We start from the raw sequence: 27,762 nt of genomic DNA on the forward strand, positions 1-27,762 counted from the left end.
GGCTCAGGCGACCCTCCTGCCTCAGCCTCCCGAGTAGCTGGGATTCCACGTGCGTGCCACTACGCCCAGCTAATATTTGTATTTTTGTAGAGATGAGGTTTTGCCATGTTGCCCAGGCTGATCTCAACCTCTTGGGCTCAAGCAAACCACCTGCCTTGGCCTCCCAAAGTGCTGGGATTACAGGCGTGAGCCATCATGCTGGACCTTTATTTTCCTCCTTCGCACTTAGCACCATTTAAACTGCGATCCATTTGCCTTATTTATTTTGTTTATTATTGGTCTCTTCTCTCAACTCAGCTCTGTGAAGCAGGGAATTTTGTCTGTCTTGTTCACTGCCATATTACTGCACCTAGAACAGAACTGGCGTGCAGTAGATGCTTAGAAAATATTTGTTGAATAGACTGGGTGCGGTGGCTAACGACTGTAATTACACGGCTTTGGGAGGCGGAGGCAGAAGGATCACTTGAGAACAGGACTTTGAGACCAGCCTGGGCAATATAGGGAGACCCCTGTCTCTACAAAAAAATAAAAAAATTAGCCGGGCTGGTGGCATGCACCTGTAGTCCCAGCTACTTGGGAGGCTGAAGTGGGAGGATCGCTTGAGCCCAGGAGGTTGAGGCTGCAGTGAGCAATGATCATGCCACTGCACTCCAGCCTGGTCAACAGAGCAAGACCCTGTCTCTGAAAATAAATACAGAACAATACAATAAAATAAATAATTTGTTGAATAAACACAGGAATAAATAAATAGAGAAGGTGGAAGAATCAGATGGTTGCATCAAAAGTGCTTAGTGCCTGGCATCCAGTAGGTGCTCAATACATGCTCACTATTGTTTCTTTCATCCAGGTCACAGTCTGGCGCTAGAAAGCCAAACAAAGGAGGCTACTGTGACCAGTCATTTCACCAGAGGCTGAAGGGATTCAAGCCAGGGATGACTGGGGTTGGGCGTGGAGGCATGTGGCCCATTCCATTCTAAACTTCCAGGACTCAAATGGTTCAGCCTGGCCTAGCCTTACCGAGCACTGGGGACCTGGGGGGAATGATACTGAAAGGGCCATTGTCTGGGGTGATAACTGAGATTCGTTGTCTTACAGCGGAGGAAATCAAGGACGTGGACACACAAGGAGTGAGGTTAAGAGAGGAAGTTTATATTTATTTATTTATTTTTTTGAGATGGAGTCTTGCTCTGTCACCCAGGCCGGAGTGCAGTGGCACAATCTCGGTTCACTGCAACCTTCACCTCCTGGGTTCAAGTAATTCCTGTCTCAGCCTCCCAGGTAGCTGGGATTACAGGTGTGAGTCACCCTCCTGGCCTATTTACTTATTTTTTGAGATGGAGTCTTGCTCTGTTGCCCAGGCTGGAGTGTAATGGCAGGATCTCAGATCACTGCAACCTCTGCCTCCTGGGTTCAAGTGATTCTCGTGCCTCAGCCTCTGAGTAGCTGAGATTACAGGTGTGTGCCACCACACCTGGCTAATTTTTTGTATTTTTAGTAGAGATGAGGTTTCACCACGCTGGCCAGGACCTCCTGACCTCAAATGACCCACCCGCCTCGGCCTTCCAAAGTGCTGGGATTACAGGCGTGAGCTACTGCGCCTGGCCAAGAGTGAAAGTTTAACAGGTGAAAGAATACCTGTCTCTGCTGCAGAGAGAGGGGTCCTGAACAGGTTGCTGGTTTTGAGGTGAAATGCAGGGCGTTTTATAGATGCTTGGTGAGCAGGCAGTGTCTGATTTACATAGGGCTTGAAAGATTGGTTGGGCCAGGTGTGCTATTTGCATAGGGCGCAAAAACTGTTTAGGACTAGGTGTGCCATTTGCATAGGGCGCGAATTTCTGGAAGTCCCCCCACCTTAATCTTTCATTATGTAGGTAGGTTCTCTGCCTGGCCTGCACCATCATGCCCGTTTATTTTTTATCTATTTATTTATTTTTTACTGTACACGTGATAATAAAAGGGAAGATGGAGACTCCATGTTGAACATGCCTGGCCCTCAGGTAGCCCTTTTCTATTGGCACAGCTGCTGGCATTTTCTCATGCAAGCTTCCAGCTTGCTTATCTATGTTTGCAGCTCAATTTCTCAGGATGCTCGTTGTTAAAAATAAATAATTTCTTGGGCTGTTTTTTTTGTGTGTTTGTTTGTTTTCTTTGAGCTGGAGTTTTGCTCTTGTTGCCCAGGCTGGAGTGCAATGGCGCAATCTTGGCTTGCTGCAGCCTCCGCCTCCCGGGTTCAAGTGATTTTCCTGCCTCAGCCTCCTGAGTACCTGGGATTATAGGCACCCGCTACCATGCCTGGCTAATTTTTTGTATTTTTGTGTGTGTATATATATATATATATATATATATATATATATATATATATATGTATTTTTTTTTTTTAGTAGAGACGGGGTTTCGCTATGTTGGTCAAGCTGGTCTCGAACTTCTGACCTCAGGTGATCCGCCTGCCTCCGCCTCCCAAAGTGTTGGGATTACAGGCGTGAGCCACTGAGCCCAGCCTGGGCTGCTTTTTGTTAAAAGGGAAGCTCTGACAAGGACTCTCTTACCCTCACTAGCTGCCTAAATAATGTCTTTCTATCTCCTGTATCAATATTTGGGTGAGGGTGATTTTAGGCAGCATGTGGGGGCCTCCATCACCCATCATCTGTATCCTTCCTGTTTTTTTCTTTATCAACCACCCACCAAGGAGACCTTCCTGTGTCCCTTGCCCACCGCTCCCAGGGGACCTGTTTTTTTTTTTTTTTTCTTTGAGACGGAGTCTTGCTCTGTCACCCAGGCTGGAGTGCAGTGGTGAGATCTCGGCTCACTGCAATCTCGGCCTCCAGGGTTCAAGCAATTCTCCTGCCTCAGCCCCCTGAGTAGCTGGGATTACAGGCGCCCGCCACCACTCCTGGCTAATTTTTGTATTTTTAGTAGAGATGGGATTTCACCATGTTGGCCAGGCTGATCTCGAACTCCTGACCTCAGGTGATCTTCCCGCCTCGGCCTCCCAAAGTGGTGGGATTACAGGCATGAGCCACCGCACCTGGCCAGGACCCGGTTTATTGGCCACAGTTCCCCGCCTCTCCCCTTTCTTCCTTCCCTTGCTCTCCTGTCCTGCCCCATCTGGTCTGCTCCAGAAGGGGCTGCATTCGCACTCTGTGAGCAGAGCAGCCTCAGAGGGCCCACGTGGGACCTGAGGTGGGGAAGGAAATTCTGAGTGGTGTCTGCACCTTGCCACAGTCTGCTGGTTGGGAGACCAGATGCTCTGGGGGATTCAGTTTCAGGGAAGGAGGAAAAACAAGGTCAGTGAGGCCTCAGCAGAAGACTCCCAGGGCAAGCCCCGCTTCTGCTTATGGGGCAGACAGAACACTTGTCTTTAATCCAGGCAGGAGTGCTACTGACACCCAGCGTTTGATGCTGTGTGCATTGAGAGTGGCTGGCTGGTATTGGAGGGATGAGAGAGCCTGGAGGGGCGGGGCTTTAGGGGTGGCCTTAGACAGGGCTTGGCAGGCAGGAGGTCACTCACTCATTCAACAAACATTCATTGAGCACCTACCGTGTGGCAGGCAGTGAACAAGACAGACACAAATCCCTGCCCTCATGGAGTTGAGCTGCTAATAGGTGGAAGACAGGCAGAGAACAAGATTAGGAAGTGAGGTATGTGCAATGTGAGATATGATAAGACTGTGACAATGGTTAAGGGGAAAAATGGCAGACAGAGTGGATGAGAAGGGATGGTCTGGAATTTTATTTTTATTTTATTTTTTTGAGACAGGGTCTCACTTTGTTGCCCACGCCAGAGTGCAGTGGCACAATCACAGCTCATTGCAGCCTTGAATTCCTGGGCTCAAGGGATCCTCCTACCTCAGCCTCCTGAGTAGCTAGGACTATAGGTGTGTACCAACATGCCTGGTTAATTTTTTCATTAATATCACAGTGCGTAAACCCTGTGATATGATAAATATCAGAGGGATATTTCATTAATTTTGTAGAGGCAGGGTCTCCCTACCTTACCCAGGCTGGTTGTTCATCATATTGGTCAGGCTGTTCTTGAACTCCCGACCTCAGGTAATCCACCTGCCTCAGCCTCCCAAAGTGCTGGGATTCCAGGCGTGTGTCACCATGCCCAGCCTGATCCTCCTCTTTATTGCAATCCCCCATGTACATGTGATTCCTTTCTCCTTCTTTCTTTTTCTTCTTTTTCTGTTTCTACTTTATTTTTATTTTTATTTTTTTGAGATGGAGTTTCTTTCTGTCACCCAGGCTGGAGTGCAGTGGTGCGATCTTGGCTCACTGCAACCTTTGCCTTGCAGGTTCAAGCGATTGTCCTGCCTCAGCCTCCGTGGTAGCTGGGATTACAGGTGCACACCACCACGCCCAGCTCATTTTCGTATTTTTAGTAGGGACAGGGCTTCACCGTATTGGCCAGGCCGGCCTCAAACTCCTGACCTCAGGTGATCCCCTGGCTTCGGCCTCCCAAAGTGCTGGGATTACAGGCATGAGCCACTGTGCCTGGCCATCTACTTCTTTTTCTTTTCTTGTTTTTAGAGATGGGGTCTCACTATGTTGCCCAGGCTGGAGTGCAGTGGCTATTCACAGGCGTGACCATAATGCACTGCAGCCTCAAACTCCTGGGCTCCAGGACTCCTCCCATCTCAGCCTCCTGAGTAGCTGGGACTATAGGCTCACACCACTGCACCTGTGTTTTTCTTCTTTTTCTATTTGTGACTATCTAACATAACTTCTAATGTAGTTGAGTTATTTATTTTATTCACTCTCTTTCTCCCTGTTGCTGCTCCCATGGGTAAAATTTTTTGTTGTTGTTCACCAGTGTATTTCGGTTCTTATGTGTTAGAGCCTAACACAGAGTAGGTGGTCAGTACTTATCTGTTGAATCAATGAATGAACAAATGAATCCCTGTTTGACATATCAGGAGACTAATGCTCAGAGATGTTGTTCTGCACCCCCAAGGTGACACAGCAAGAATGGGCCTGAGCTGGAAGCAGCCTGGGCTCATAGCCTTGTTATTTCAGTGAATGGGGCTGGATTCCAACATCTGTTCCTGAATACCTACTGTGTGCCAGGTCCCGAGGGATGGTATTGGCCAGGTAGCTATCACCCCTATACCATGAGACCACCCAGCCTTTATTGTAAGAAGGTCCCCTTACCTCTAAGAGTGCTTTTTTTTTTTTTTTTTTTTTTTGAGACAGAGTTTTGCTCTGTTGCCCAGGCTTGAGCACAGTGGTATGATCACAGCTCACTGCATCCTCAATCTCCTGGGCTCAAGCGATCCTCCCACCTCAGCCTCCCAAGTAGCTGGATCTACAGGCATGCACCACCATGCCCAGCTAATTAAAAAAAATTTTTTTTTTGAGAGAAGTCTCGTTCTTGTCCCCCAGGCTTGAGTGTGATGGCTCGATCTCGGCTCACTGCAACCTCTGCCTCCTGGGTTCAAATGATTCTCCTGCCTCTGCCTCCCAAGTAGCTGGGATTAAGGCGCCTGCCACCACGCCCGGCTAATTTTTGTATTTTTTAGTAGAGACAGGGTTTCACCATGTTTGCCAGGCTGATCTCGAACTCCTGACCTCAGGTGATCCGCCCACCTCAGCCTCCCAAAGTGCTGGGATTACAGGCGTGAGCCACCGTGCCCAGCCTAAAAAATTTTGTTTTTCTGTATAGTTGGGGTCTCACTTTGTTGTCCAGGATGGTCTCAAGCTCCTGGCCTCAAGAGATCCTCCTGCCTTGGCCTGCCAAAGTGCTGGGATTATAGGCATGAGGCACCATGCTCAGCCTAAAAAGTGCTCTTGATGGGCAGATATACCGTCAGTCTTTTTGACCTATTGACCTGTCCCTCCCCCTGTTACTATTCCCCTTCTCCTATCCTCCTATGTCTGTTTGCAGCTGCTCCCCACCCCCATCCATCTGGAGCCTGATTAGCTTGTGTGTGCTTAGCAGATGTTGGCTGAACAGACGGGCTCTTTCTTCCTTCTCAGACAGGTCTCCATTTTCCCATCTCTAGAATGGGTACAGTCACATTTGCCCTCCTACAGGTTGGAATGGGTACAGTCACGTTTGCCCTCCTACAGGCTGGGAAGGCTCTATGACATCAGGCCATGTAAGAGGGGAAAGCCCAGCCCCTAGAGTCAGCTTTGAATGGAAAGGGAGGTTAATCTGCTGCTGCCCTCCTACCTCAATTAAGACCGGGGCTACCCCATTGCCCACGTGCGGTGCGGGGGAAGGTTTTTCCATTTGTTAGAGGCTCTCACTTGCTTATACTGAGCCTGTCAGGTAAGAAATACATTCTATTTTGTTTGAGACACTCTTGTTCTGAGTCTCAGTTATGGAAACCCAACCTAATGTTCCCCATGGGCCTGATGAATGTTCCTTGTTGTTGAAGCCAATCTGAGTTGCATTTCCTCTTACTTTTAGTAAAAACCTCTACAAAGGGAAATTGGGGTCTTGCCCCTTGGGGTACATATTAGTTTCCTATAGTGACTCTAACAAATTACTCATAAATTGAGTGACTCGGAACCACAGAAATAATAATTATTATTATTGTTACTATTTTGAGATAGAGTCCTGCTCTTTTGCCCAGGCTGGAATGCAGTGGCGAGATCTTGGCTCACTGCAGCCTCCGCCTCCCGGGTTCAAGCGATTCTTCTGCCGCAGCCACCCGAGTAGCTGGCATTACAGGTGCCCGCTATCATGTCCAGCTATTCTTTTTTTTTTTGTAACTTTAGTAGAGATGGGATTTCATCATGTTGGCCAGGCTGGTCTCGAATGCCTGACCTCAAGTGATCCACCTGTCTGAGCCTCCCGAAGTGTTGGGATTACAGGCGTGAGCCACCGCGCCTGGCCAGAAATGGATTATATGGATTATTTTATTTTATTTTTTTGAGATGGAGTTTCACTCTTGTTGCCCAGGCAGGAGTGCAATGATGTGATCTCGGCTCACTGCAACCTCTACCTCCCGAGTTCAAACGATTCTCCTGCCTCAGCCTCCTGAGTAGCTGGGATTACAGGTGCGCGCCACCATATCTGGCTAATTTTGTATTTTTAGTAGAGATGGGATTTCACCATGTTGGCCAAGCTGGTCTTAAACTCCTGACCTCACGTGATCCACCCACCTCGGCCTCCCAAAGTGTTGGGATTACAGGTGTGAGCCACTGCACCCGGCCAGATTATTTTATAGTTCTGGAGTCAGGAGACCAACATCAGTCTCACTGCTGAAACCCAGGTGTTCATGGGCTGGGCCATGCTTCTTTAAGAGGCTGCAGCGTGAGAATCCATTTTCTTGCTGTTTCCAGCCTCTGCAGTTGCATTCTTTAGCATATGGCTCCTTCTTGCATCTTCAAAGCCAGCATAACTTTAGTGACCACATTGCCTTTTTTTTGTGTCAAATCTCCTTCTGTTTCCCTTCTACGAGGACCCTTGTAATGCCATTTTTTTTTTTTTTTGAGACGGAGTCTCGCTCTGTCACCCAGGCTGGAGTGCAGTGGTGCGATCTCGGCTCACTGCAAGCTCCACCTCCTGGGTTCACGCCATTCTCCTCCCTCAGCCTCCCGAGTAGCTGGGACCACAGGCACCCGCCACCACACCCAGCTAATTTTTTGTATTTTTAGTGGAGACGGAGTTTCACTGTGTAAGCCAGGATGGTCTCGATCTCCTGACCTCGTGATCTGCCTGTCTCGGCCTCCCAAAGTGCTGGGATTACAGGCGTGAGCCACGATGCCTGGCCTGTAAAGCCATTTAAGGCCCACCTAGGTAATCCAGGATAAACCATCCATCTCAAGACCCTTAATTAATTAATTAATATTTAATGTTTTTTAAAAAATTAATTTATTTATTTATTGAGACAGAGTCTCACTCTGTCACTCAGGCTGGAGTGCAGTGGCGTGATCTCGGCTAACTGCAACCTCCATCTCCCAGGTTCAAGCGATTCTCCTGCCTCAGCCTCCTGAGTAGCTGGGATTACAGGCGCCTGCCACTGCGCCTGGCTAATTTTTGTATTTTTAGTAGAGACTGGGTTTCACCATGTTGGCCAACCTGGTCTCGAACTCCTGGCCTTAAGTGATCCATCCACCTCAGCCTCTAAAAGTGCTGGGATTCCAGGCGAGAGCCACCACACCAGGCCAGTTGTCATTATTCCTTCTGTGCGTGAATCCAAACTGGGGAGAAAGGCTCTGTGTGTATGTGTGTGTGTGTGTGTGTGTGTGTTTGTGTGAGCACGTGTGAGGTCTGAGGGCTTCCTGTCAAAATGAATTTGCATGTATTTGACTTTGAAAGGAAAAGGGAACTGAGAGAGCCCCCAGACGCCTGAGTCGGAGAGACAGGGGGCAGAGGTTGCCAAGCCCTGGCTGCCACTTGTCAGGTTCCCTGTGCTAGACATGCATAATCTGTATTCCATCACTGGGTACCCGGACCCACCAGGTAAGGCCCCGGCCAGGCTGGGGCTGGGGCCTAGGTGTGGTCAGGACCCAGGGTACAGAATCCCCACCATGGGGCAGCTGAGGCAGAGACCAGGGCTTGAGGGATGGAGGGAGGAGGGAATGGCTGGGCTCTGACTTGCCTTTCCCCTGGAAGGGACCATGGAGGAGGAGGAGGAGGATGATGACTATGAGAACTCAACACCTCCCTACAAGGACCTTCCTCCCAAGCCAGGTAAGAGGACTTTTTGGAGTGTGACCTGGGGGAATACAGGGAATGGGGTCTCCAGTGGGCATTGGTTGGGCATTGTAGACACATAGTCAGTCTCCTCTGTATCCAGCCCATGCCGGGCACTGTGGAACCCACACCCTGCCCAGGACGACCTGTCAGTCTGATGGCGGAGGTGGGTTTGGGCACAGTCTTGGTGAGCAGGGTGAGAGAGGAGGGGTCAGGAGATTGGCAAAATCCTTGGGGGACTGAGGGCTCAAATAGAGGAAGGGACTTTGGGGTGGGGCTTGAGGGATGAGTAGACATATCTTAAGAAGAGAAGTCCAGGAGAGAACAGTTAGGTGCAAAGTCTCTGAGTTACAAAAGCTGGTGCTTGAGAAACTGGGAGTGGACTGTGGGCTCCCAGTCTCCTCACCTTTCTACCCAAAGCCCAGGTTTTATTTAGACTTGGATCTCAAACCCAAGGCATAGCACAGGGTTCAACAAGAGACTGATAAGTGGTTGTTAAAGTGGAGGTTTGGGCCAGCTGCAGTGGTGTGCGTCTGTAGTCTTGATACTTTGGGAGGTCAAGGTGGGAGGATCGCTTGAGGACAGGAATTTGAGACCAGCCAGGGCAACATAGCAAGACCCTATCTCTGCCAAAAAAAAAAAAAAATAGAGGTTTGGGCCGTGTGTGGTGGCACATGTCTGTAGTCCCAGCTACTTGGGAGGCTGAGTCAGTAGGATCACTTGAGCCCAGGAGTTCTGGGCGATTGTGAACTAGGCGATCGGGCGTCTGCACTAAGTTTGGCATCAATATGGTGATGTTTTGGGAGCAGGGGACCACCAGGTTGCCTAAGGTGTCTGAGGAGGGGTTTCCAGGTTGGAAACGGAGCAGTTCGACACCCCCAAGCTGATCAGTAGTGCGACTGCTCCTGTGAGTAGCCGCTGCACTCCAGCTTGGGCAGCATAGCGCGACTCCACTTCTAAAAAAATAGAGAAAATGAAACCGGAGGTTTTTGAGGTATTCCTGAGTTTACTGCCACCAGGGACCCTGAGGCCATGAGAGATCCCGGAGGCCCAAAACAGAAAATCCCTGAGATATGCTGATGGCCTGGTCCTGGTGACCTTAGACAGGAGCCATTCTGTGAGGGCTGAGGCTGTATATCCCCCATCTCTGAGTCCAAAGTGGGGCCACCTGGGAGGTCCAGAAATATGGTGGGACTTGCCTGAGGTAGGAGGTGACCTGTGCTGTGTTGTTTCACTGCCCCATTTCCAATTTATGGTCCTAATGTGACCCTCAAGCCCTGGGTCTACATATATGACCAACCAATCCCATTCCCTTCTTCAGGGCCACGTCTGCTCCAAAAGCACAGTCCTGTCCCCACATCCACATGCAGCCCAGCATCCACTCTCCAATCCAACTTCATCACCCTCTCTACTATAGCCCAGCCTCGACTCCTTCCCCATTCCCAAACCTGGCAAGGACTCTGTTCTTCATCCTAACCACATCATGACCTTACCCACATCCATCCCTGTCCCCAACCCATTTTCCATCCCATCCCACCCCATCCCAACACCAATTCTAATCCAAACCCCACCTCATCTTCATCCCCATCCTGAAACGCAACTGTTTTTGTTTTTTAAAATCCCCTCCATCCCCTTCCATCCCTTCTCCTTTCAATCAAACCCTCAAAGAGACACACAGAGAAGAGAACTGTGAATTGTCTGCTCATTAGTTTTTATGAGAGGAAACCAGAGAATTTAAAAAAAATATTTTTGAGACAGGGTCTTGCTTGTCACCCAGGCTGCCCTGAAGTGGTGCAATCATAGCTCACTGCAGCCTTGAGCTCCTGGGTCCAAGCAATCCTCCTACTACACCCTCCCGAGTAGCTGGGGTTACAGGCATGAGTCACTGTCTGTAAAGCCTCATGTGAAGCTCAGGGTCTACATATATGACTCATATGACTCTCAGGGCCTGTAAGTTCTGCAGAGATGACTGTGGTAGTCAGCCTTCAAGATGGGTTCCCTGTGACCCTTACGTTCTCATATTCGTGCCCTTGTGTAGTCTCTTCCCACAATGACTCAGAGCTGGTCCATGTGATAAATAGAATACTGTATAGTGGAGACCATCCTTTGTGACTTGTGAGGCTAGATCATAGGAGCATGGTGGCTTCTATCTTTGCCTCTGCCATGTTGTGAAGATGCCCAGTCATCCCTTTGGAGAGGCTCACATGGCAAGGAACTGAGGCCTCCCACCAACAGCCATGTGAGTGCATCATCTTGGAAGCAGATCCTCTAGCCCCAGTCAAGCCTGCAGATGACTTGCAGTCCCAGGCAACATCTTGACTACAATCACGCAAGAGATCTCAAGCTAGAACTACCCAGCTAAGCTGCTCTCAGATTCCTGAACCACAGAAACTGTGAGATAATAAATGCTTATGGTTGTTTTAAGTCACTGCGTTTTGGGGTAATTGGTTGTGCAGCCATAGATAACTGACCCAGTGCCCTGGTACTTCACCATGGAATGTGGGGGAATACTTAACACCTATCCCCTTAACATCTTGTTACAAATGTTACCACTTCCAGGAGGTACTTCCTGATGACCTCTCTACATTAGCTTTTATCCTATCCCATTGCTCTGTTTTATTAGGTTTAGAGCAGTAATACTTAGTCTATATAAAAACATATTTTAATGTTTCTTAATTTCTTTACTTTTTTTTTTTTTTTTTCTTGAGACGGAGTTTCACTCTTGCTGCCCAGGCCGGAGTGCAATGGTGCAATCTTGGCTGACAGCAACCTCTGCCTCCCGGGTTCAAGTGATTCTCCTGACTCAGCCTCCCTGGCAGCGGGATTACAGGCATGTGCCACTGTGCCCGGCTAATTTTGTATTTTTAGAAAAGATGGGGTTTCTCCATGTTGGTCAGGCTGGTCTCGAACTCCCGACCTCAGGTGATCTGCCTGCCTTGGCCTCCCAAAGTGCTGAGATTACAGGCACGAGCCACCACGCCCAGCCTCTTTTCTACTTTTTTAAGAGTGGGGTCTCCCTCTGTTGCCCAGGCTGGAGTGTAGTAGTGCAATCATGGCTCACTGCTGTGTCAACCTCCTGAGCTCAAGCAATCCTCCCACCTCAGCCTCCTGATAGCTGGGACTACTGGTGTGCACCACCATGCCTGGATGGTTTTTTCTAAATTTTTTTTACAGAGATAGGGTCTTGCTATGTTGCCCAGGCTGGTCTTGAACTCCTGGCCTCAAGCGATCCTCCTGCCTTGGCCTCCCAAAGTGCTGGGATTATAGGCATGAGCCATTGCGCCCAGCCTATTTCTATGTCTCTTTACTGGTTTATTGTGTCTCTGGTCTAGATTGAAGGAAGAAGTTTATCCATCTCTTCCACCCAGAACTTGGTGCTCTGTAGGGGAGCTCAACTGGGAGCGGGGAGGTGGGTGGCTGTTGTCATTGTTTCTTCTTTTTCTTTCTTTCTTTCTTTTTTTTTTTTTTTGAGACAGAATCTCACTCTGTCACTCAGGCTGGAGTGCAGTGGCATGATCTCAGCTCACTGCAACCTCCACCTCCTGAGTTCAAGTGATTCACCTGCCTCAGCCTCACAAGTAGCTGGGATTACAGGCAGGCACCACCACGCCCGGCTAGTTTTTGTATTTTTGGTAGAGACGGGGTTTCACCACGTTGGTTGCCCAGGCTGATCTCGAACTCCCAAACTCAGGCGACCTGCCAGCCTCAGCCTCCCAAAGTGCTGGGATTACAGACGTGAGCCACCACCCCCGGCCCATTGTTTCTTCTATGTGTGAGTCCAAACTCCAGAGAAAGATGTGTGTGTGTGTGTGTGTGTGTGTGTGTTTGTGTTTGTGTGAGGTCTGGGGGCTTCCCCCCAAGATGGATTTGCCTGTACTTGACTTTGAAAGGAAAGGGAAACAGACAGATGCCTTAGACATCTGAGTAGGAGAGACAAGACCTGGCTACCCCTTGTCATGTTCCTGGTGTTAGCGGTAGCCATGCACAACCTGTATTCTATCTCTGGGTGTCCAGACCCACCAGGTAAGGCCCTGGCCAGGCTGGGGCTGGGGCCCAGGTGTGGTCAAGATCCAGGGTACAGAATCCCCATCATGGGGCAGCTGAGGCAGAGACCAGGGCTTGAGGGATGGAGGGAGGAGGGAATGGCTGGGCTCTGACTTGCCTTTCCCCTGGAAGGGACCATGGAGGAGGAGGAGGAGGATGATGACTATGAGAACTCAACACCTCCCTACAAGGACCTTCCTCCCAAGCCAGGTAAGAGGACTTTTTGGAGTGTGACCTGGGGGAATACAGGGAACGGGGTCTCCAGTGGGCATTGGTTGGGCATTGTAGACACACAGTCAGTCTCCTCTCTACACAGCCCATGCCGGGCACTGTGGAACCCACACCCTGCCCAGGAGGACCTGTCAGTCTGATGGCAGAGGCAGGATTGGGCACAGTCTTGGTGAGCAGGGTGAGAGAGGAGGGGTCAGGAGATTGGCAAAATCCTTGGGGGACTGAGGGCTCAAATAGAGGAAGGGACTTTGGGGTGAGACTTGAGGGATGAGTAGACATTTCTTAAGAAGAGAAGTCCAGGAGAGAACTGTTAGGTGCAAAGTCCCTGAGTTACAAAAGCTGGTGCTTGAGAAACTGGGAGTGGACTGTGGGCTCCCAATCTCCTCACCTTTCTACCCAAAGCCCAGGTTTTATTTAGACTTGGATCACAAACCCAAGGCATGGTACAGGGTCCAACAGGAGACTGATAAGTGGTTGTTAAAGTGGAGGTTTGGGCCAGCTGCAGTGGTGTGCATCTGTAGTCTTGATACTTTGGGAGGCCGAGGTGGGAGGATCGCTTGAGGACAGGAGTTTGAGACCAGCCGGGGCAACATAGCAAGACCCCATCTCTGCCAAAAAAAAAAAAAAAACAAGTAGAGGTTTGGACCGTTTGTGGTGGCACATGTCTGTAGTCCCAGCTACTTGGGAGGCTGAGTCAGGAGGATCGCTTGAGCCCAGGAGTTCTGGGCTATTGTGAAGTATGTGATTGGGCATCTGCACTAAGTTTGGCATCAATATGGTGATGTTTTGGGAGCAGGGACCACCAGGTTGCCTAAGGTGTCTGAGGAGGGGTTTCCAGGTTGGAAACAGAGCCACTCGACACCCCCGAGCTGATCAGTAGTGCGACTGCTCCTGTGAGTAGCCGCTGCACTCCAGCTTGGGCAGCATAGCGCGACCCCACTTCTAAAAAAATAGAGAAAATGAAACCGGAGGTTTTTGAGGTATTCCTGAGTTTACTGCCACCAGGGACCCTGAGGCCATGAGAGATCCTGGGGGCCCAAAACAGAAAATCCCTGAGATATGCTGATGGCCTGGTCCTGGTGACCTTAGACAGGGGCCATTCTATGAGGGCTGAGGCTGTATATCCCCCATCTCTGAGTCCAGAGTGGGGCCACCTGGGAGGTCCAGAAATATGGTGGGACTTGCCTGAGGTAGGAGGTGACCTGTGCTGTGTTGTTTCACTGCCCCATTTCCAATTTATGGTCCTAATGTGACCCTCAAGCCCTGGGTCTACATATATGACCAACCAATCCCATTCCCTTCTTCAGGGCCACGTCTGCTCCAAAAGCACAGTCCTGTCCCCACATCCACATGCAGCCCAGCATCCACTCTCCAATCCAACTTCATCACCCTCTCTACTATAGCCCAGCCTCGACTCCTTCCCCCTTCCCAAACCTGGCAAGGACTCTGTTCTTCATCCTAACCACATCATGACCTTACCCACATCCATCCCTGTCCCCAACCCATTTTCCATCCCATCCCACCCCATCCCAACACCAATTCTAATCCAAACCTCACCTCATCTTCATCCCCATCCTGAAACGCAACTGTTTTTGTTTTTTAAAATCCCCTCCATCCCCTTCCATCCCTTCCCCTTTCAATCAAACCCTCAAAGAGACACACAGAGAAGAGAACTGTGAATTGTCTGCTCATTAGTTTTTATGAGAGGAAACCAGAGAATTTAAAAAAAATATTTTTGAGACAGGGTCTTGCTTGTCACCCAGGCTGCCCTGAAGTGGTGCAATCATAGCTCACTGCAGCCTTGAGCTCTTGGGTCCAAGCAATCCTCCTACTACACCCTCCCGAGTAGCTGGGGTTACAGGCATGAGTCACTGTCTGTAAAGCCTCACATGTGAAGCTCAGGGTCTACATATATGACTCATATGACTCTCAGGGCCTGTAAGTTCTGCAGAGATGACTGTGGTAGTCAGCCTTCAAGATGGGTTCCCTGTGACCTTTACGTTCTCATATTCGTGCCCTTGTGTAGTCTCTTCCCACAACGACTCAGAGCTGGTCCATGTGATAAATAGAATACTGTATAGTGGAGACCATCCTTTGTGACTTGTGAGGCTAGATCATAGGAGCATGGTGGCTTCTATCTTTGCCTCTGCCATGTTGTGAAGATGCCCAGTCATCCCTTTGGAGAGGCTCACATGGCAAGGAACTGAGGCCTCCCACCAACAGCCATGTGAGTGCATCATCTTGGAAGCAGATCCTCTAGCCCCAGTCAAGCCTGCAGATGACTTGCAGTCCCAGGCAACATCTTGACTACAATCACGCAAGAGATCTCAAGCTAGAACTACCCAGCTAAGCTGCTCTCAGATTCCTGAACCACAGAAACTGTGAGATAATAAATGCTTATGGTTGTTTTAAGTCACTGCGTTTTGGGGTAATTGGTTGTGCAGCCATAGATAACTGACCCAGTGCCCTGGTACTTCACCATGGAATGTGGGGGAATACTTAACACCTATCCCCTTAACATCTTGTTACAAATGTTACCACTTCCAGGAGGCACTTCCTGATGACCTCGCTACATTAGCTTTTATCCTATCCCTATTGCTCTGTTTTATTAGGTTTAGAGCAGTAATACTTAGTCTATATAAAAACATATTTTAATGTTTCTTAATTTCTTTACTTTTTTTTTTTTTTTTCTTGAGACGGAGTTTCACTCTTGCTGCCCAGGCCGGAGTGCAATGGTGCAATCTTGGCTGACAGCAACCTCTGCCTCCCGGGTTCAAGTGATTCTCCTGACTCAGTCTCCCTGGCAGCGGGATTACAGGCATGTGCCACCGTGCCCGGCTAATTTTGTATTTTTAGAAAAGATGGGGTTCCTCCATGTTGCTCAGGCTGGTCTCGAACTCCCGACCTCAGGTGATCTGCCTGCCTCAGCCTCCCAAAGTGCTGAGATTACAGGCGTGAGCCACCATGCCCAGCCTCTTTTCTTTTTTCTTTAAGAGTGGGGTCTCCTTCTGTTGCCCAGGCTGGAGTGTGGTAGTGCAATCATGGCTCACTGCTGTGTCAACCTCCTGAGCTCAAGCAATCCTCCCACCTCAGTCTCCCGATAGCTGGGACTACAGGTGTGCACCACCATGCCTGGATGGTTTTTTCTAATTTTTTTTTTTTTTTTACAGAGATAGGGTCTTGCTATGTTGCCCAGGCTGGTCTTGAACTCCTGGCCTCAAGCGATCCTCCTGCCTTGGCCTCCCAAAGTGCTGGGATTATAGGCATGAGCCACTGCGCCCAGCCTATTTCTGCGTCTCTTTACTGGTTTATTGTCTCTCTGGTCTAGATTGCAGGAAGAAGTTTATCCATCTCTTCCACCCAGGACTTGGTGCTCTGTAGGGGAGCTCAACTGGGAGAGGGGAGGGGTGTGGCTGTTGTCATAGTTTCTTCTTTTTCCTTTTCTTCTTTTTTTTTTTTTGAGACAGAGTTTTGCTCTGTCGCCCAGGCTGGAGTGCAGTGGCGCGATCTCGGCTCACTGCAAGCTCCGCCTCCCAGGTTCACGCCATTCTCCTGCCTCAGCCTCCTGAGTAGCTGGGACCACAGGCGCCCGCCACCACGCCTGGCTAATTTTTTGTATTTTTAGTAGAGACAGGGTTTCACCATGTTAGCCAGGATAGTCTCGATCTCCTGACCTTGTGATCTGACTGCCTCAGTCTCCCAAAGTGCTGGGATTACAGGCGTGAGCCACCGCGCCTGGCCCTTTTTTTTGAGACAGAATCTCACTGTGTTGCCCAGGCTGGAGTGCAGTGGCGCTATCTCGGCTCACTGCAATGGGGGCTATTGTCATTGTTTCTCCTTCCTCTTTTTTTTTTTTTTTGAGACAGAATCTCACTCTGTCACTCAGGTTGGAGTGCAGTGGTGCGATCTCAGCTCACTGCAACCTCCACCTCCTGAGTTCAAGTGATTCACCTGCCTCAGCCTCACAAGTAGCTGGGATTACAGGCTTGCACCATCATGCCTGGCTAGTTTTTGTATTTTTGTTAGAGACGGGGTTTCGCCATGTTGGTTGCCCAGGCTGATCTCGAACTCCCAAACTCAGGCAACCTGCCAGCCTCAGCCTCCCAAAGTGCTGGGATTACAGATGTGAGCCACCACTCCCGGCCCATTGTTTCTTCCGTGTGTGAATCCAAACTCCGGAGAAAAATGTGTGTGTGTGTGTGTGTGTGTGTGTGTGTGTGTGTTTGTGTGAGGTCCAGGGGCTTCCCCCCAAGATGGATTTGCCTGTACTTGACTTTGAAAGGAAAGGGAAACAGACAGATGCCTTAGACATCTGAGTAGGAGGGACAAGACCTGGCTACCACTTGTCATGTTCCTGGTGTTAGCTGTAGCCATGCACAACATGTATACTATCGCTGGGTGTCCAGACCCACCAGGTAAGGCCCTGGCCAGGCTGGGGCTGGGGCCCAGGTGTGGTCAAGATCCAGGGTACAGAATCCCCATCATGGGGCAGCTGAGGCAGAGACCAGGGCTTGAGGGATGGAGGGAGGAGGGAATGGCTGGGCTCTGACTTGCCTTTCCCCTGGAAGGGACCATGGAGGAGGAGGAGGAGGATGATGACTATGAGAACTCAACACCTCCCTACAAGGACCTTCCTCCCAAGCCAGGTAAGAGGACTTTTTGGAGTGTGACCTGGGGGAATACAGGGAACAGGGTTTCCAGGAGGCATTGGCTGGGCATTGTAGACACACAGTCAGTCTCCTCTGTATCCAGCCCATGCCAGGCACTGTGCAACACACACCCTGCCCAGGAGGACCTGTCAGTCTGATGGCAGAGGCGGGTTTGGACACAGCCTTGGTGAGCAGGGTTGAGAGAGGAAGGGTCAGGAGATTGGCAAAATCCTTGGGGGACTGAGAGCTCAATTAGAGGAAGGGACTTTGGAGTGGGACTTGAGGGATGAGTAGACATTTCTTTCTTTTTTTCTTTTTTTTTGAGATGGAATTTCACTCTGTCACCCAGGCTGGAGTTCAGTGGCACAATCTCCGCTCACTGCAACCTCGCCTCCTGGGTTCAAGCAATTCTTTTGCCTCAGCCTCCCGATTAGCTGGGATTGCAGGCGCCTGCTACCATGCCTGGTTAACTTTTGTATTTTTAGTAGAGACCAGGGTTTCACCATATTGGCCAGGATGGTCTCAAACTCCTGGCCTCAAGTGATCCGCCTGCCTTGGCATCCCAAAGTGCTGGGATTACAGGTGTGAGCCACCACGCCTGGCCGAGCAGACATTTCTTAAGTAGAGAAGCACAGGAGAGAATTGTTGGCTGCAAAGTCCCCGAGTCATAAAAGCTGGTGCTTGAGAAACTGGGAGTGGCCTGTGGGCTCCTCAATCTCCTCTCATTACCACTCAAAGCCCAGGGCTTTATTTAATCTTGAATCTCAATAAACCCAAGGCATAGCCCAGGGTTCAACAAGAATCTGATCAGAGGATATAAAAGTGGAGGTTTGGGCTGGTTGCAGTGGTGTGTGTCTGTAGTCCCACTGCTTTGGGAGGCCAAGATGGGAGGATCACTTAGCCATGAGTTCACTGGAGGCCAGGAGTTCGAGACCAGCTTGGGCAATATATAGCAAGACGCCCATCTCTACCAAAAAAAAAAAAAAAAAAAAAGGGAAGTTTGGGCCAGGCGTGGTGGCTCATGCTTGTAATTCTAGCACTTTGGGAAGCCAAGGTGGGAGCATCACTGGAGCCCCAGAAAAGAGACCATCCTGGGTAACACAGTGAAACCCCCAGCTATATGAAAACATTTTTTTTTTCAAATTAAAAAAATTAGCCAGTTGTGGGATGTGTGCCTGTTGTCCCAGCTTCTCAGGAGGCCGAGGTGGTAGGATTGCTAGAACCCGGGAGTTCAAGGGTGCAGTGAGCTATGATGGCACCACTGCACTCCAGTCTGGATGACAGAGCAAGGCACTGTCTTTAAAAAAATAGAACACGGGCTGGGTGCGGTGGCTCACGCCTGTAATCCCAGCACTTTGGGAGGCTGAGGCGGGTGGATCACGAGGTCAGGAGATTGAGACCATCCTAGCTAACACGGTGAAACCCCGTCTCTATTAAAAAAATACAAAAAATTAGCTGGGTGTGGTGGTGGGCACCTGTAGTCCCAGCTACTTGGGAGACTGAGGCAGGAGAATGGCGTGAACCTGGGAGGCGGAGGTTGCAGTGAGCCAAGATCGCGCCACTGAACTCCAGCCTGGGAGACAGAGAGAGACTCTGTCTCATAAAACAAACAAACAAACAAACAAACAAACAAAAACATGGCCGGGCACGGTGGCTCAGCCCTGTAATCCCAGCACTTTGGGAGGCCAAGGCGGGTGGATCACTTGAGGTCAGGAGTTCGAGACCAGCCTGGCCAACATGGTGGAATCCTGTCTCTACTAAAAATATAAAAGTTAGCTGGGCGTGGTAGCATACGCCTGTAATCCCAGCTGAGGGGGCTGAGGCAGAATTGCTTGAACCCAGGGGGCGGAGGTTTCAGTGAGATGAGATCACGCCACTGCACTCCAGTCTGAGCAACAGAGCAAGACTCTGTCTCAAAAAATATAAAATAAAATAAAAAATAAAATAAAATAGGGAGATACCCAGGCAATCTAGGTTCGTTGGTCACCCTACTTAATCCCATCTCCATCCCTAATCCCAATTGCATTCTTACGTCCAACCCCGTCTGTAACCTAATCTCCAATCCTCCACTGCAATCCTAACCCTGTTTCCATCACTTCCTCTTGGCGCATTCCCATCCTCAGCCCAGCCCTCACCCTGAGCTTCTCTTCTCCAGGTTCAAGTGCTCCACCAAGACCTCCAAGGGCAGGTGAGTTGGGGCTGGGGGTGTAGGAGACCCAGAGCTGGCTTTGCCCTGCTCTGGCCCTGACCAACCATTCCTCCCTCCTCAGCAAAGGAAACAGAGAAACCCCCACTTCCTTGCAAGCCCCGGAACATGACAGGTGAGAGCTGACAGTTGGAGTCTTCCTGCTCACCTGGCTGAAGCCCTTCTTGAAATGACTTTCTCATCTCTTCTAGGCCTGGACCTCGCCGCTGTCACCTGTCCACCTCCTCAACTGGGTGAGCAGTGGGAAGACCCTTTAAGATGCCTAAGAGGGGATACCTGGATGTTTCCTTTCAATCCCCCAATTTTTATTTATTTATTTTTTTTGAGACAGAGTCTCACTGTCATCCAGGCTGGAGTGCAGTGGTGCGATACTGGCTCACTGCAACCTCTGCCTCCTGGGTTCAAGTGATTCTCCTGCTTCAGCCTCCTGAGTAGCTGGGACTACAGGCACGAACCACCACACCTGGCTAAGTTTTGTATTTTTAATAGAGATGGGGTTTTGCCATGTTGGCCAGGCTGGTCTCAAACTCCTGACCTCAGGTGATCCACCCGCCTCAGCCTCCGACAGTGCTGGAATTACAGGCGTGAGCCACTGCCCACAGCCAGCCCCCTAAATTCTGACCAGAGAACAAAACAGAGGTTGTTGATCTTGGAAGACAGAGTCTTTGGCATCTTCTGAATAAACCTCTCTCCCCCTTTCTCCCAGCTGTGAATCTTGAGCCTTCTCCATTGCAGCCATCCCTGGCCGGTAAGTGTCCTCCCATTTCCCCTCTGACAGTGGCTAGTGTATCTGATTGAGACCTATGGCTCTACAGTGAGACCCTGAGTCAGAGGAACTTCTCCTTTAAGAAGCTGCTCCTTCAGGACCTGCTGCACTGTTCTGAGTTAGTCTAGTGAGCGCTGCTCTAAGTGAGAAAGCCATTCCTTGACATCAGAGTTTGCAAACGTGTATTCTTTTTTGTCCTTCTGAGGACCAGAGTTATGTGGTTGTTTTGTTTTTGATAATGATGATGTACTTATGGTTCTGTTGGTGATTGTGATGGAAGGATGAGGAAGGAGATGATGGAAAGGAAGAGGATGGTTGGTGGTAGTAACGATGGTAGAGGTAGTGATGGCGTTGTTGTGTGCTGATGGTGATGGTGGAGATACTGATGATGGTGGTGATGGTGGAGATAGTGATGGTGTTGTTGGTATTGATGATGGTAATGATGGTGGAAACAGTGATATGGTGGTAATGCAGGGCGGAGGTAGTGATGGTATTGTTGGTGATGGTGGTGGTGGTGATGATGAAGGTAGTGATGGTGTTAGTGAGATGGTGATGATGATAGTGGTGGTAGTGATGGTGTTGGTGGTGATGGTGTTGGTGATGATAGTAGAGGCAGTGATGGTATTGTTGACAATGACAATGTTGTTGGTAGAGATGATGGTGGTGATGGTGGAGGTAGTGATGGTGTTGGTGATGACCATGTTTAAAAAGAAAAAGAAGCTTCTCCTCTCTGAGTCTAGGCCAGATCTCCAGAAACTCAGGTATCTGCTTGCATAAGATATGGGAAATGTTCTCTGCTCTAGAAGCCGGGGTCCACAAGCTTCCTTGACCTAGGAGCAACTTGGTCAGGGGTTTCTGGAGAGTAGAAGATGATGCATCATAGATATTAAGAACAAAGCTGTGTCCAAGTCATGCCTAACCTCACCAAGCCTCAGTTTACTCACTTGCAAAATGGGAATAATGCTTATAACCTACATCATAAGGATGAGACTCCAATAAGATAGGAAGGATGTAGGTTGGGTACAGTGGCTTACGCCTGTAATCCCAGCACTTTGGGAGGCTGAAGCAGGGAGGATCTCTTGATGCCAGGAGTTCAAGACCATCCTGGACAACATGGCGAGACCCCCATCTCTGCAAAAAAATAAAATAAATTAGCTGGGCCTAGTGGCACACATCTATAGACCCAGCTACTTGAAAGGGTGAGGTGGGAGGATTGCTTGAGCCCAGGCATTAGAGGTTGCAGTGAGCTATAACTGTGCCACTGCCCTCCAGCCTGGATGACAGAGTGAAACCTTGTTTCAAGAAGGAAAGAAGGAAAAAGAGAAGGATGCAACATGATGCTTAGCGCACCGTAAATGCATCAAAAAGACCCTGAGCCTCCCCAGGGTTCACTCTCCCTAACCCTCTCTTGCTGACTTCATCTGCTGAAACAGTCATGACTACAGACTTCTGCCCCCTGCTCTTGGACAAAGACTTAAGAGTCTCTTCCTTACTCTCTGAAGCCCCAGTATCAGTCTCTCTGTTCCCATCCCCACTCCCCAGCAACTCCAGTCCCCTGGCTCAATCAGAGGTCTGGAGGTCCTGGCTGCTGCCAGAAGAGGTGGATGGTGTACCTGTGTCTGCTGGTGGTGACTTCCCTGTTCCTGGGCTGCCTTGGTCTCACTGTGACCCTGATTAAGTGTGAGTAGGGCCAGGAAGGGACATGGGGAGAGATTGGGGAGGGTGCACAGGAGGACCTGGGCTCAATTTGGACTCTTCTTCATAGACCAGGAGTTGATGGAAGAACTGAGAATGTTAAGCTTTCAGCAGATGACGTGGCGAACAAATAGTGAGTGCTTTCAGTCATTCCTTCATGCCACTCCTATTGAGCCCTAACCCAATCCTCAGATCCAACTCCAAGATCCAACCTCATCCCCATCTTTGCTGGGCACTGTGCTAGGTACCAGGGGGTTAAAATGGTAAACATGTCAGACACAGTCTTTGTCTGACTGTGTGAAGTGTGCATGTGTATATGTGTCCAGACCTCCACCATCCAATATGGTGGCCACAAGCCATATGTGGCTGTTGAACACTTGAAATGTGGCCAGTCCAAACTGAGATGAGCACTAAGTATGAAATACACACTGGTCCAGGTGCAGTGGCACATGCCTGTAATCCCAGCACTTTTGGAGGCTGAGGCAGGATTGCTTGAGGCCAGAAGTTCGAGACCCGACTGGGCAACACAGCAAGGCTCCATCTCTAAAAAAAATTAGCCGGGTGTGGTGGTGTGTGGTGTGTGCTTGTCATCCCAACTACTCAAGAGGCCGAAGTGGGAGGATCTCCTGAATCAGGGAGTTTGAGGTTGATCATGAGCCATGATCACACTCAAGAGATCCTCCTGCCTCAGCCTCTTGAGTAGCTGGGACATAGGCGCATGCCATCACACCCGGCTGGTTAAAAAATTTTTTTTTTGTATAGAAGAGGTCTCACTATGTTGACTAAGCTCGTTTCAAACTCCTGGCCTCAGGTATTCCTCCTGCCGCAGCCTCCTGAAGTGTTTCGTGCCTGGCCTAAAACCTGTGTTTCTGTTTTGTCCAACTGAAGGGCCAGCTACTGAGCTAGCGAGTGTTGAAAAAGGGAAGAGTTCGTGGGGGAGTAGTGATAATACACACGTTAATTATAGAAGAATCTTTTGACCTGGGTTGGCCTTCATCATGACTGCCAAAGTCTGAATATTTCTCCATTCCACACTGCCTCACCCTATGCTTCATAACAAGCAAGCTCAAAACCCATCAATGGCTTCTCATTGTCCAGAGTCCAAGGTGAAACCTTTAGCTTGGCATTCAAGGATCCACATATTAGGCTGGGCACAGTGGCTCATGTCTGTAATCCTAGCACTTTGGGTGGCCAAGGTGGGAGGATCCCTTGAGGCCAGGAGTTCAAGACCAGCCTGGGCACAGCAAGACTTTCTTTCGTTTGTTTGTTCTTTCTTTCTCTCTCTCTCTCTCTCTCTCACTATCTCTTTCTTTCTTTCTTTCTTTTTCTTTTTCCTTCCTTTCTTCCTTCCTTCCTTCCCTTCCCTTCTCCTTCCTTCCTTCCTTCCTTTCTTCTCTCCCTCTTTCTCCTTCCTTCCTTCTTTCCTTCCTTCTTACTTTCTTTCTCTCTTGCTTTCTTTCTTTTGACAGAATTTTGCTCTTGTTGCCCAGGCCGGAGTACAGTGGCGCGATCTCAGCTCACTGCAACCTCCCCCTCCCAGGTTCAAGTGATTGTCCTGCCTCAGCCTCCTGAATAGCTCAGATTACAGGCATCTGCCACCACTCCCGGCTAATTTTTTGTATTTTTAGTAGAGATGGGGTTTCACCCTGTTGGCCAGGCTGGTCTCGAACTCCTGACCTCAGGTGACCCATCTGCGTCAGCCTCCCAAAGTTCTGGGATTATGGGCATGAGCCACTGCGCCCGGCCTAGCAAGACCTTGTTTCTACAACAAATTTTAAAAAAATAGCCAGTCATGATGTCATGTACCTGTAGTCCCAGCTACTCAGGAGGCTGAGGTGGGAGGATCACTTGAGCCCAGGAGGTTGAAGCTGCAGTGAACCACGATTGCACTCCAGCCTGTGGGACAGAGCAGGACTGTGTCTAAAAAAAATAAAATAAAGGATCCAGGCATCTGAGCTCATTCTGCTTTGATCTCAAGCTTTTCTGAGTTTTCCCTCCACTCTTATAGGCTTTGCCGCCTCACCACAACATACTTGCCTCTGTATCTTTGCTTTTTTTTTTTTTTTTTTTTTTTTTTGAGATGAAGTCTCACTCTCTTGCCCAGGCTGGAGCACAGTGGTGTGATCTTGGCTCACTGCAACCTCTGCCTTCCGGGTTCAAGTGATTCTCCTGCCTCAGCCTCCTGAGTAGCTGGGATTACAGGCATGTACCACCACGCCCAACTAATTTTTGTATTTTTAGTAGAGACAGGGTTTTACCATGTTGGCCAGGCTGGTCTTGAACTCTTGACCTCAGATGATCCGCCCACCTCGGCCTCCCAAAGTGCTGGGATTACAGGTGTGAGCCACCATGGGCAGCCTGCATCTTTGCTTTTAAGATAGTCCCTGCCTAATGTGCCTCTTCCTCACCTCACAGTTATCGAATCACTTTCTTCCTTTAAAACCCACTTCTTTCAGGGTGCCCACCACCCCTACTTTTCCCCACATCCCCGGGATTGATCCCTCCTCTGAGCCATTCTCGGATTCTGAGCACTGTACATGTGGTTTTTGAGCGCAAGCGTGACCCACTGGAATGTGGACACAGTGGGGAACACAACCCTTGCTTCTCTCTCTGATGTGTCTGCAGTCCGTGGTGGATGGGTAGGATGGGTTCTCAGTCTGTAGCCCTCAAGCCCATCCCTTCTGACAGTGACTGGCATGGCAGGGCTAGCTGGCCTGAAGCATGACATTGCCCGTGTAAGAGCTGACACCAACCAGTCCCTGGTGGAACTTTGGGGCTTATTAGGTAAGTGAGACTTGGGGAATTGCCCAGGGATGGGGGGCATGGCAGAGCTGGCACATTACATCACTCCATTGAAGTCATTCTCAGTGCAGTCTATGTGAATGGTGCCCCTCCCCCTCACCGGAGTTGAGCAGTGTACAGCCTGCACAACTGTACATGGCATACTATGTACATGGCTCAGGTTCTGGGGCCATCCTGACAGCATTCTGTCTGGTTCCCAGACTGCCGCCGAATTACCTGTCCTGAAGGCTGGCTGCCCTTTGAGGGCAAGTGTTACTACTTCTCCCCAAGCACCAAGTCATGGGATGAGGCCCGGATGTTCTGCCAGGAGAATTACTCTCACTTGGTCATCATCAATAGCTTTGCTGAGCACGTGAGTTCTTCCCACTGAACCTTTGAGAACCTTCAGGGACAGCCTGCTTCTCTTCCAGGATGCACACATCCCTCCCTTCCCTGGATGGCAAGAAATTAGAATTACTTTTCAGTTACTAAAACTTTAACAGCAAGCTCTTCCTAAGGTAGTATCATGCAGAGGTTAAGAAGACATGCTTTGTTTTTGAGTTCAAATTCTGGTTGTGTTGATTTAACCTCTGTACATTTCAAGTATCGGTTTTATCTCTAACATGAAAATACAATAATTAATATCTGTTAGGTAGCACTTTTTATGTTTCAGGTTGCATTCCAAATACTTTACATCTTACAGTCATTAACACATGCAATCCTCACGACAACCTATACATTAGTATGCCAGTCGGAAGAGTTTATTTCTTTTCTTTTCTTTTTTTTTTTTGAGATGGAGTCTCGCTCTTTCACCCAGGCTGGAGTGCAGTGGCTGGATCTTGGCTCACTGTAAGCTCCGCCTCCCGGGTTCACGCCATTCTCCTGCCTCAGCCTCCTGAGTAGCTGGGACTACAGGTGCCCACCACCACGCCCGGCTAATTTTGTTTTTGTATTTTTAGTAGAGACAGGGTTTCACTGTGTTAGCCAGGATGGATGGTCTTGATCTCCTGACCTCGTGATCTGCCCGCCTCGGCCTCCCAAAGTGCTGGGATTACAGGCGTGAGCCACCACGCTCGGCCTTCTTTTTTTTTTTTTTTTTTTTTTTTTTTTTGAGATGGAGTCTCACTCTGTCACCCAGGCTGGAGTGCAGTGGTGCAATCTTGGCTCACTGCAACCTCTGCCTCCCGGGTTCAAGCAATTCTAGTGCCTCAGTCTCCCGAGTAGCTGGGATTGCAGGCATGTGCCACCACGCCTGGCTAACTTTTGTATTATTAGTAGAGATGAGGTTTCTCCATGTTGGCCAGGCTGTTCTCGAACTCCTGACTTCAGGTGATCCTCCCACCTCTGCCTCCCAAAGTGCGGGGATTATAGGTGTGAGCCACCACGCTGGGCTAGGAGGGGTTACTTTATGCTGCGGTAACAGACAGTCTCCATAGTCCAATGGTGAAAGTAGACGAGGGAAATCATACATTGACTGTCAGAGTTTCCATTTACTTTTGCTCACAAAAGTCACATGTACACGCCTATCTTTTAAGGTGGTAGGGAAATAAGTCTCACCTCCGTGCAACCAGAAGGAGGATTGGAATATGGGTAAATAGCTTTAATGATTTGCTACTACAATTTAGGTAGTATTACTATTTGTACACAATATGTATCATCTGTACTTCACAGGTGAGGAAGTCAAGGTTCCAGTACATGTAAGCAACTTGCCTGGAGTCACTTACAGCTAGTGGGATTTAAGCCTAGGTAGCCGGCTTTCAAGTCCATGGTCTTGACCATAGACATAGGACTATAGTATGGTTTATGTTTCCTTTTTTCTGTTTTTCAGGGACAAGGTCTCACTCTGTCACTCAAGCTGGAGTGCAGTGGTATAATCATAGCTCGTTGCAGCCTCAAAGTCCTAGGCTCAAGCAATTCTTTCGCCTCACCCTCCTGAGTAGCTAGGACAACCAGGCACTTGCCACTGTACCCAGCAAATTATTATTATTATTATTACTTTTTGAGATGGAGTCTCGCTCTGTCACCCAGGCTGGAGTGCAGTGGCGCGATCTCGGCTCACTGCAAGCTCTGACTCCCGGGTTCACGCCATTTTCCCACTTCAGCCTCCCGAGTAGCTGGGACTACAGGCGCCCGCCACCACACCCAGCTAATTTTTTGTATTTTTAGTAGAGACGGGGTTTCACTGTGTTAGCCAGGATGGTCTCGATCTCCTGACCTGGTGATCTGCCTGCCTCGGCCTCCCAAAGTGCTGGGATTACAGGCATGAGCCACCGCGCCTGGCCCAGCAAATTATTTTTACTTTTGTAGAGACAGGGTCTTGCTATGTTGCCTAGGCTCTATGTTTTCTATTCATTTTATTTTTAATTTATTTATGTCATTATATTTAAAATGTTTTTTTTTTCCCAGACAGTATATAGTTGGGTTTGGATTTTTAAAATCTGATCTGATAATCTCTGGCTTTTAATTGGTGTTTTCATTTACTTATTTATGTATTTTTGGAGACAGGGTCTCACTTTGTCACCCAGGCTGGAGTGCAGTGGCGCAGCCTCAGCTCATGGCAGCCTTGGCCTCCTGGGCTCAAGTGATTATCCCACCTCAGCTCCCCACCAAGTAGCTGGGACAACAGGTGTGTGCCACCATGCCTGGATAATTTTTAACATTTTTTGTAGAGATGAGGTTTTGCTATGTTGCCCAGGCTGGTCTGGAACTCCTGACCTCAAGTGATCTGCCGCCTTCACCTCCC

The 27,762-nt window shown here is 49.4% G+C and overlaps 2 protein-coding genes and 2 pseudogenes across 14 annotated transcripts in view, besides 5 other annotated features; 3 read left to right on the forward strand and 1 right to left on the reverse strand.

Moving 5' to 3' along the window:
- Positions 5,918-5,967: an enhancer, noted in NCBI's record as "active region_14174". NCBI's record gives its function as "activates an Ori minimal core promoter by ATAC-STARR-seq in GM12878 lymphoblastoid cells {active_cell/tissue: GM12878}" and the evidence as "EXISTENCE:reporter gene assay evidence [ECO:0000049][PMID:35858748]".
- The window catches only part of CLEC17A (C-type lectin domain containing 17A), a 31,085-nt gene continuing 9,483 nt past the window's right edge, over positions 6,161-27,762 (forward strand). For 2 of the 13 annotated variants that reach the window (XM_017026785.3, XM_017026792.2), the window contains exons 1-13: positions 8,294-8,413; positions 8,567-8,644; positions 12,824-12,901; positions 14,949-15,303; positions 17,491-17,568; positions 19,727-19,759; positions 19,842-19,892; positions 19,969-20,010; positions 20,484-20,525; positions 22,086-22,223; positions 22,309-22,371; positions 24,927-25,022; positions 25,241-25,392. In XM_017026785.3, coding sequence (XP_016882274.1) covers positions 17,496-17,568; positions 19,727-19,759; positions 19,842-19,892; positions 19,969-20,010; positions 20,484-20,525; positions 22,086-22,223; positions 22,309-22,371; positions 24,927-25,022; positions 25,241-25,392 — 690 coding nt within the window. In that variant the 5' untranslated portion in view covers positions 8,294-8,413; positions 8,567-8,644; positions 12,824-12,901; positions 14,949-15,303; positions 17,491-17,495. Of the gene's footprint in view, positions 6,272-8,293; positions 8,414-8,566; positions 8,645-10,821; positions 11,041-12,823; positions 12,902-14,948; positions 15,304-17,490; positions 17,569-19,726; positions 19,760-19,841; positions 19,893-19,968; positions 20,011-20,483; positions 20,526-22,085; positions 22,224-22,308; positions 22,372-24,863; positions 25,023-25,240; positions 25,393-27,762 lie in introns of those variants that run through there. The other 11 variants (NM_001204118.2, NM_207390.4, XM_017026787.3 and 8 more) reach the window with 10 other exon arrangements.
- Positions 7,924-8,067: a silencer, noted in NCBI's record as "fragment chr19:14693526-14693669 (GRCh37/hg19 assembly coordinates)". NCBI's record gives its function as "represses an EF-1alpha promoter that drives an FKBP-Casp9 reporter gene in an ReSE screen in K562 erythroleukemia cells {active_cell/tissue: K562}" and the evidence as "EXISTENCE:reporter gene assay evidence [ECO:0000049][PMID:32094911]".
- Positions 8,409-8,578: an enhancer, noted in NCBI's record as "active region_14175". NCBI's record gives its function as "activates an Ori minimal core promoter by ATAC-STARR-seq in GM12878 lymphoblastoid cells {active_cell/tissue: GM12878}" and the evidence as "EXISTENCE:reporter gene assay evidence [ECO:0000049][PMID:35858748]".
- On the forward strand, positions 9,305-9,605 carry RN7SL337P (RNA, 7SL, cytoplasmic 337, pseudogene; annotated as a pseudogene).
- Positions 10,718-10,767: an enhancer, noted in NCBI's record as "active region_14176". NCBI's record gives its function as "activates an Ori minimal core promoter by ATAC-STARR-seq in GM12878 lymphoblastoid cells {active_cell/tissue: GM12878}" and the evidence as "EXISTENCE:reporter gene assay evidence [ECO:0000049][PMID:35858748]".
- Positions 12,443-12,532: an enhancer, noted in NCBI's record as "active region_14177". NCBI's record gives its function as "activates an Ori minimal core promoter by ATAC-STARR-seq in GM12878 lymphoblastoid cells {active_cell/tissue: GM12878}" and the evidence as "EXISTENCE:reporter gene assay evidence [ECO:0000049][PMID:35858748]".
- Positions 13,567-13,866, forward strand: RN7SL842P (RNA, 7SL, cytoplasmic 842, pseudogene; annotated as a pseudogene).
- The window catches only part of ADGRE3 (adhesion G protein-coupled receptor E3), a 74,728-nt gene continuing 72,292 nt past the window's right edge, over positions 25,327-27,762 (reverse strand). Inside the window, exon 17 of the transcript XR_001753772.2 lies at positions 25,327-25,472. The gene's annotated coding sequence lies outside the window, so the exon portion shown is untranslated. The remainder of the gene's footprint in view (positions 25,473-27,762) is intronic.

Source organism: Homo sapiens, chromosome 19 (assembly GCF_000001405.40).
Source record: "Homo sapiens chromosome 19, GRCh38.p14 Primary Assembly".
NCBI lineage: Eukaryota > Metazoa > Chordata > Mammalia > Primates > Hominidae > Homo > Homo sapiens.